At 40.7% G+C, this 8049-nt stretch overlaps 1 protein-coding gene across 12 annotated transcripts in view, besides 1 other annotated feature; it reads left to right on the top strand.

The window, feature by feature from the left end:
- Window positions 481–670: an enhancer, noted in NCBI's record as "active region_4465". NCBI's record gives its function as "activates an Ori minimal core promoter by ATAC-STARR-seq in GM12878 lymphoblastoid cells {active_cell/tissue: GM12878}" and the evidence as "EXISTENCE:reporter gene assay evidence [ECO:0000049][PMID:35858748]".
- Window positions 850–8049, top strand: part of BTBD10 (BTB domain containing 10) — a 75215-nt gene continuing 68015 nt past the window's right edge. For 6 of the 12 annotated variants that reach the window (NM_001297741.2, XM_017018409.2, NM_032320.7 and 3 more), the window contains exon 1: window positions 850–980. The gene's annotated coding sequence lies outside the window, so the exon portion shown is untranslated. Of the gene's footprint in view, window positions 981–1082; window positions 1451–8049 lie in introns of those variants that run through there. The other 6 variants (XM_017018410.2, XM_024448713.2, XM_024448712.2 and 3 more) reach the window with 4 other exon arrangements.

The following is an 8049-nucleotide window of genomic DNA, read 5'->3' as shown; positions in this document are numbered from 1 at the left end:
CCTTGCAATGCCCTTCCCTCTCTTCCCTAAACTGGAGAACTTACTTATGCTTAAGATTCAGCGCAATTGTCACTCCCAGGTGAAGGCTTTCTCAACAAGGCCTCCCCGTCTGCTCCCAGAGCTCATGGCAAGCAGCTCGGCTTTTATCAGAGAATAATGGGATTATCTATTTTCCTGTAGGTCTTGCCCCGGGGGTGTAAGCTTCGAAGGCGGAGACTGTGTCTTTTACATTTTTTCCCGTTTTTATTGCCCAGCCAGCCCATGTAGGTGACTCTCGGTGTTTCCTAGGCGGCCAAACTGAAGGAGTTTCAGCTGGCACAGGGGTTCCCGCCAACCGAGCGTTTAAAAATAAGCAGCGGGGGACGTTAGGGAACAGAGGGTGTCCCTCACGACGACCGACTCTCATCAGGTCCACGCCGGCAGAAGCGATTTTGCAGTTTGCTTTGATGAGGAAAACGCTCTCCCTGAAGAGTCCCTGCACTATTTCTCCAACTCTGTGACCGAGACGCTGTCCACTTTTCTCTAACGGTGACAGGAAGTCAAGGGGAAAACGTGGGATTCAAAGGTTTGAAGGTAACAGCCCTCAGCCACTCGGGCTCGAGGCCCGCGGTTGACCCGAGCTGATGTCTGTGAGGAGAGGTCGCGCGGCGCCTTCCTCTCCACGCGCCTGAGATCCCACCCGTGGCCGCCGCGCCCTCAACTGCCTTCTCCTTCGGTGCCCCGCCCACCCCTGGGCGGAGAGCACCGTTCTCGCGAGAACGCTGCTGGCCTCGCCTCTTCGCATTGTGAGCTCTCGCGGTAAGAGGCTGAGGAGCCGGCCTGCAACCTGCCGGGGCGGCTCCGCTACGCGCAGCCGCCTCAGTGGCTTCCTCCACAGCCACCTCCGGAGGGATCTGGCTGAGGAGGAAGTGGAGGTGTCACTGGCCCCGGCCTTTGCCCCAATCTTGTGTGGGCACTGAAGGGGGACTACAGGTTCGAGAGTGAGTGGACTCAGCTGGGGAACTCGGCGGGGGCGGCGCGGGAGGCTGGGCTTGGCCGGGGCGAAAGAGGAAAGGGGCGGAGGGCGAATCTGGGCGTGAGAGCCAGGCTGCTGCGGCGGTGGTCTGGGCGGCCGGACCCTGCTCGGGTACCGTGGGTGGCGTTTTGGGCTCCGGCCACGAGCACCCAATTAGGAGAGGCCGGGATAAGACTTGAGTTTTGCGGCTGCTGCTTTTGGGTTGGGAGTCCGGGGGCCTTTCTCCGGGGATGAAGGCGATACCCTCATCCCTTTCCAGGGCAGAGGAACCCCGTGCCCCGCCCCTTTCCTGTCATCTCAGACGAACGCAGCGACATCCTGAGGAAGGCGCATCACAATAGGGGATAAGGTGGTGGGCAGCCTCCCTCTGGGTGAAGAGGAGTGAGACCCCACTAACGTGCTGCGTGGTTTTATGTTGTAACCATTTTACGTGTGGTAAAGCTTTGTTTTCTTAAAACTTGCACGGAAAAGGTTCTGATGTCTTTCTTCTTCAGATGCAGGTGCCCTGACACCCTTATCTTTGGGAATGGGGCGGGGGAAGGTGAGACATCGGTTAGTAATTTGTTAGTGTGGGCCAGTGTGACTGTCCCTGGGCCTCACAGATTTCCTGCTTCTCCTTTCTCAGTATTCTGAGTCCATGATGAAAAGTCACTAGTCCAGACATGCTGAAAGATAGAGCTTCACTTGCTTGTGGCTTTGTGCACTTAGTAAACAAGATTATTTTACGAAGATTTATTATCTTGCAGAGTTTTCATGCTTTTTATTTAAATTAGCAATCTAAATGAAACAGCACAGGATATTAATTGTATTTGGACAACTGAGTTCCTTCCCGCCCCTATCCTCCCAACCCCCCAACTACACAAATTTGATCAAAATCTTTTAGAGAGGGGGTTAGGGATAAATTTTCAATGAAAGAGACTGTGGAAATCGGAATAAGAGATATAATAAAGAATGCAGCCATAACGGCCAAAAGAGTTTCTGTATTAGAGAGCCTGTCCAGGATTGAAGTTCAGTCCTGAAACCCAGGACTGCAGTTGTCATTTGAATATAAAGCGGAAAGCAGTAGAAAATACTTGGGAAGGGATTTGAAAGTGGACCAAGACTGGTAAAAAAAAAAAAAAAAAAAGTGTGAGAAGAATTATTTCTGATGATGTAAATGTGTTTTATAAATTTTCCCAATATTTCTCAGCGTGTATGACCTAACAGCTATTATATTAATACATACAAAGTAGGAAGGAAGTTTCTGAAGCATGGAATGTGGTAAGGAACCACCAGAGAGTAACAGTGTTCAATCAGGAAAGCTTTTAGTGTTTCAACAATGTTTTTGTGTTCGTTCACCTTTTTTCTCACTCCCAGAAAAGCTTTCAGATAGACTTCTAACCCTATGTAATTATGTTACCCTTCCACCAGTCTGAATTTTCTTCTTTCTCACTCCCTCTAAGCCATGTGAATTTTTTAAATTATTAACTATGGAGTTGCAAACCACTGTGGTCTGCTTTTGGCTTTTTATAATAGGTGACTTAGGGAAGTATGGAAGTGATATGGAAAATATTGTGCACCTTTCAAAGCCATAGCATGAGCAACAAACTCACATGCCTTCGGGTACTAGTTAGATAATGAAAATGAGGGAAATGCACTATGCCTTATCAGAGAGACATCCAAGTCTCAGGTCCCCCTAATCAGTGCTATATAAGAATATGGACCCCATCTTCAGCATTCTCAAGAGAACTCGGAAATCTAGATTTTTGCATTCAGTGTCTTGCGTCTTAAAAATATTGACAACTAATTAAAACCATTAAAAATATCATGTGACTGAATCAAATCCAAACCTGTCCATAGTTGTATTCTCCTCTCCAGTTTAGAAGCTCTGTTATAAATCAAAATTAATAAATTTTATGACTGGAAAAAAAGGAGGTTTAAAGCAAGTTTGGAGTTTCAAACTTAAGGGGTCTTGGGAAAAATGTCACATCTAATTGAAAACAGTAGTTAAGTTTAATAGCCTTTAAGTATAGTTATAGTAGGGCAATTTGAACTGGTATTTACTATAAACGTTTTAACTGTGGAAATAACTGAAGAAAAAGCATCTCAGTATTTATGGTTTAAAAACTCAGAGTTCTGAGCAAAGCTGATTTATAGGTATCTTGTACAGAAATTGAATTATTTAGAAGCTCTTTATTGTATTTGCAGCTAATATATAAAATTAAATACAAGAGACCCTCTACAGTCCATTTCAGGATTTGAATGTTTATTGTTTGCTGTGCTATCCCACATTGTCTTCCTAGGCATTGACTTACTGGAAGAAATACTGATCCCTTGGATTTTATTCCATGCCAGATGGAGATTGGAGGGGTTTGGCAACAGGATGGAAAGAACTGGGTGGAGAAAGTGTGATGTGAAGCAAACACTCTTGTGCCCCTTCCTTACATTGTTCATTAAAAGATTGATTTGTGTTAGTTTTTCTTGTAAGAAGGATAGGTATATTAATTGATTAAACTTAGTGCCTTATACATAGTAGAGTTTAATGACGTGTGGAATTGACCTTTGTGGATTAAGCCTCATTTACCCATTAATGTGAAGTAATTTAATCACATAATCTGATTCATACCTAGTTGGGTTATGGGGAATGGGAGTGCTAGAGGTCAAAGCTAAGTAAGAGGTGTTTTTTAGGCATATAGAGGGCAAGTTGGGGGTCTTCACTTGGGATAAGGGTGAGAGAGGAAGTTAGGTAAGGGAGAGAATTTTGAAAAGGAAGATGAAATGATTAAGTACCCATTTGTGTATTGTGCAGTTTTAAAAAGAGGTCTGCCTTTTGTGGCTAAATTTATCATAACTTGTGCAGAGACTACATAGAATACTGGTTTTTAATCAGGACTGCTATGGGAATTTGCAGATTTTCTTTTCTTCATTTTAGCTCAGTCATCTCAGGCCAAGCTAGGCTAATATCTGTTCATTCAATCTCTGCCTCTCTCTGAAATAGGAAATGAAAGAAGAGGAGATATGTATTATGTTTGTGAGGTGCTCCTGTTGAAGAGTTATAAGACTACTTCTGAGGAATTTGTTTTATATTTGAGAAGATTGTGCTTGTTGAAGGGGGAACCATTATTTTCGTCTTTACTTGTTTCTACCATGACTCATAAAGTAGGAAGTTCTTTTTTGGAAATAGCTTTCCGCTTCTTCCCATCCCCTGAGTTGCCATCCCAAAGGAGGATCAGGGGAGGCTAAGGGAAGGGATTGAGTATACTTTTGTTCAGTGCCTTATGATTCAATTTTTGGGACTCTCAATTCTTAGGCTATACATTGTCTATTCATTTGTATGGTAGGCTTATCTGAGCAGGCTGGACTACTAATACTATGAGGGAGAAGGAAATGGAATGCCTACAGTTCTAACTGGGTAAGTTTAATTTGCAGTTGAAGTAATAAGGGTTTTTGCACGTTGGATTTAGTTATATTTTTACCATCATCTGTTTGGATCCTTTATTTTTTGTTGATTCTGAACCGAAAGTAAGGCGGGTCAGGAAGATACAGATGTTACCTTCTCCTGTTAATGGAGAAAGAACTATTAAAATTTTTCTCCCTTTTTAATAGATTCTTCATCAGGGTTCAAGCCAATGTTGCATTTCCCCTAGTGTATCTTGCTCGGGTTTACTTTGAGATCCTTGAAACTGAGACCTAGTTTGCTAAAGAATGTAGCAATCAGCCAGCCAGGCATGGTGGCTCACGCCTGTAATCCCAGCACTTTGGGAGGCCGAGGCGGGCGGATCACGAGGTCAGGAGATCGAGACCATCCCGGCTAAAACGGTGAAACCCCGTCTCTACTAAAAATACAAAAAAAATTAGCCGGGCGTAGTGGCGGGCGCCTGTAGTCCCAGCTACTTGGGAGGCTGAGGCAGGAGAATGGCGTGAACCCGGGAGGCGGAGCTTGCAGTGAGCCGAGATCCCGCCACTGCACTCCAGCCTGGGCGACAGAGCGAGACTCCGTCTCAAAAAAAAAAAAAAAATAAATAAATAAAAAAATAAATAAATAAATAAATTTTAATGCTCAGATACCTGACAGAGAATCTTAGGTACAAAATTGTACAAGCGTTGTTATGATTTTCTTGTTTTTGGGTGGCATACAAATAGTGCTGGATTGTTTCAAAGGTAATTACTTCATTCAGACAATTTATTTTATACAATGCAGGCTTGAATTTGATTTTTCTCACATCAAGAAAGCAAGCGATATGATCTGTTTCTTTCAGCTATTCATTTGTTCATTTAGAATTTTCTTAGAGAAGACCATAACCTCCTGTAAGATGGTTAACTGCGAGACATTCTTGTTTCTTACTTAGTTTTCCAAATTGTTGGAGTTTCTCTTTTAAAAGAGAATAATTATTAGAGAGACTGGTGGGATTATGAAACCATAATACTGAAAGTAACTTTAAAACCATTAATACTCCAATTTTTGGAAGAGAAAACTAAAGTGCAAATCAAGCCCCTTAACTGATTTTGATCAAAGATATTGGCAGGCAGTAAGACAGCTGAGACTAGAATACAAATCCACAAGTTTCCTGATTTGGAGTAGTTTGTTCCAGTGATTCCCCCTAGTGGGTTGCATGTGCTTTTGGGGATATATGAAAAACTTGTTCATTGTGCTGTATGAAGAAAACAATAGAACTTCTATTTATTTTTTACTGTATCCTTTTTAAATTTCCATTTCGTGTGTGTGTGTACTATATACATAATACTGGTGTGATAGTATATGTGCATTGTTTATAAATATACATATATACAGCTGTCCGTGTTACTTGAACTCAACATATTAAGAAAAGGAAAAACTGCCATATTTTAAAGTGGTATGGCATCTTTGATCATCTTTGCTTCCCTAGTGAATGATATTATTTAACAGTAGACTGGAACAGTTTTTTTTTTTTTTTTTTTTTTTGAGATGGAGTCTCATTATGTTGTCCAGGCTGACCTTGAACTTCTGGGCTCAAGTGATCCTCTCACCCCAGCCTCCCAAGTAGTTGGGATTATAGGCACATACCGCCACACTCAGCTTGAATGGCTGTTAATTTTGAAACTGTTTTATGATGAGTAGTTTGAAAAATTTCCTATAAAAATAGATTTATTTGGAGTAATTTCTTTCTGACTGTAAAAGTAATGGGTATTACATGCAACTGGGAACATTTAGCAAAGGGCAAAGAAGAAAATGGTACCATAATCCCATGACTCAGTGATAATTGCTTCCAGTCAGAAATATATGTGTGTACACAGATACATACATACACATATGAATATTACATACACCCCTTATTAATTTATTTGGAGTATGTAAGTCATTATGTGGTTCAAATATCTAAAGTATATCGAAAGAGAACTCAGAAGTCTTGATTACATCCCTATTACCTTCACCCCAGTCCTACTCTGCCCATATAGGTAACCATTTTGATTAATGTCTTTTTTATACTTTGAGTTGTTTTCTTTACAAAAATAAATACATGTGTATTTGTCTTTGAATATATGTACATATTTTTAAGTTTACCCTTTATGTTACAAAAGGTAGTACAATGAATACTGCTTGTTCTGTACCTACCTGTTTTTTGCTGTTGCTGTTTAACCTAACGATGTATTTTGGATATTAATCCGTTATTCTATTGTGTGGATGCATGTAGTTTATTCAGTTAACTCCTTTTGATGCACATTCCGATTGTTTTAGTCTTTTACCATTACAAATAATGCCACAGTGAATATATTTACAAATATTTTATGGAATATTAGTGGAGTTGTATCATCTTTGAAGTAGGACTAGTAAGTGTATGTGTAGTATTGTTGGATATTACAGAATTCCTTTCTACCAGGGTTATATAATCTGTGTTTTTCTTTTTATTTTATTTATTTATTTATTTAATTTTTTTTGAGACAGGGTCTCACTCTGTCACCTAGGCTGGAGTGCAGTGGCATGATCACCGCTCACTGCAGCCTTCACCTCTCAGGCTTAAGTGATCCTCCCACCTCAGCCTCCCAAGTAGCTGGGACTACAGGCATGTGCCACCATGCTTGGCTAATTTTTGTATCTTTTAGTAGAGATAGGGTTTCACCATGTTGCCCAGGCTGGTCTCAAACTCCTAGGCTCAAGTGATCTGTCCACCTCAGCTTCCCAAAATGCTAGGATTATAGGCGTGAGTCACTGCGCCAGACCCTCATTTGTACTTTTCATTGGCAGTGTATGCCAGTATTGAGACTGCTTCTCCACAGCTTCACCAACAGAGTATATGGCCAAAATTGGAGGTGTTAATTTGCATTTCTTTTATGAGTGAGGTTGAACATATTTTTATGTTTAAGGCCATTTGCCTTTATTTTTCTGAGGATTGCCCATTTCTTTGTGCATTGTCTGTTTTGGAGAAGAGAAATTGTCTTTTTCTTTCCTTCTTTAAGGAACTCTTTATATACTATGAAATTAGCCCTTTTAAAAAAATTACTTGTTTTTAAAACTTTATTTTTTTCTGTGCTTTTTGCAAGTAGTGGTGTTTTTCGTAGGCAAATAGGAAAGGCTTTCTCTCCTTCCCGGTTGTCAGTGAAATCACCCATAATTTTTCTAGTATTTGTATGATTCCAGTTTTTACATTTAGATAGTTGATTTCATTTGGAGTATATCCTTGTATGTGGTATGAGGTACGAATTCAGTTTCATGTTTTCCTGAATGTTTATTCAGTTGTCCCAATACCATTTATTAGTGTCTGTCTTTTCTCGATGACTTGAGCTATCACTTCATCATATATTGAAGTTCTTTATGTTTTAGGGCTCTGTTTCTGGGCCTTTAATTCTCTTCTATTGGTTGGTTTGTCTATTCATGCACCACAGACTTTCAATTATTGAAATGAACCTTAATTCAAAGATCTTTGAATATAACAACATTTTTAATTTTATTAAAGTGGAATGCTACCTATAGTACCAAGACACAAAGATGTGTAAAATGTTTCTTTGTGAGCAAGTGTTTTGTCTCAGGGCAAATTTTAGATTCCTTAAACTTTTCGGACAGTGCAGACGTAGAACAT

Source organism: Homo sapiens, chromosome 11, assembly GCF_000001405.40.
Source record: "Homo sapiens chromosome 11, GRCh38.p14 Primary Assembly".
In the NCBI taxonomy this organism is placed as follows: domain Eukaryota; kingdom Metazoa; phylum Chordata; class Mammalia; order Primates; family Hominidae; genus Homo; species Homo sapiens.
This window is presented reverse-complemented; position numbering and strand designations above follow the sequence as displayed.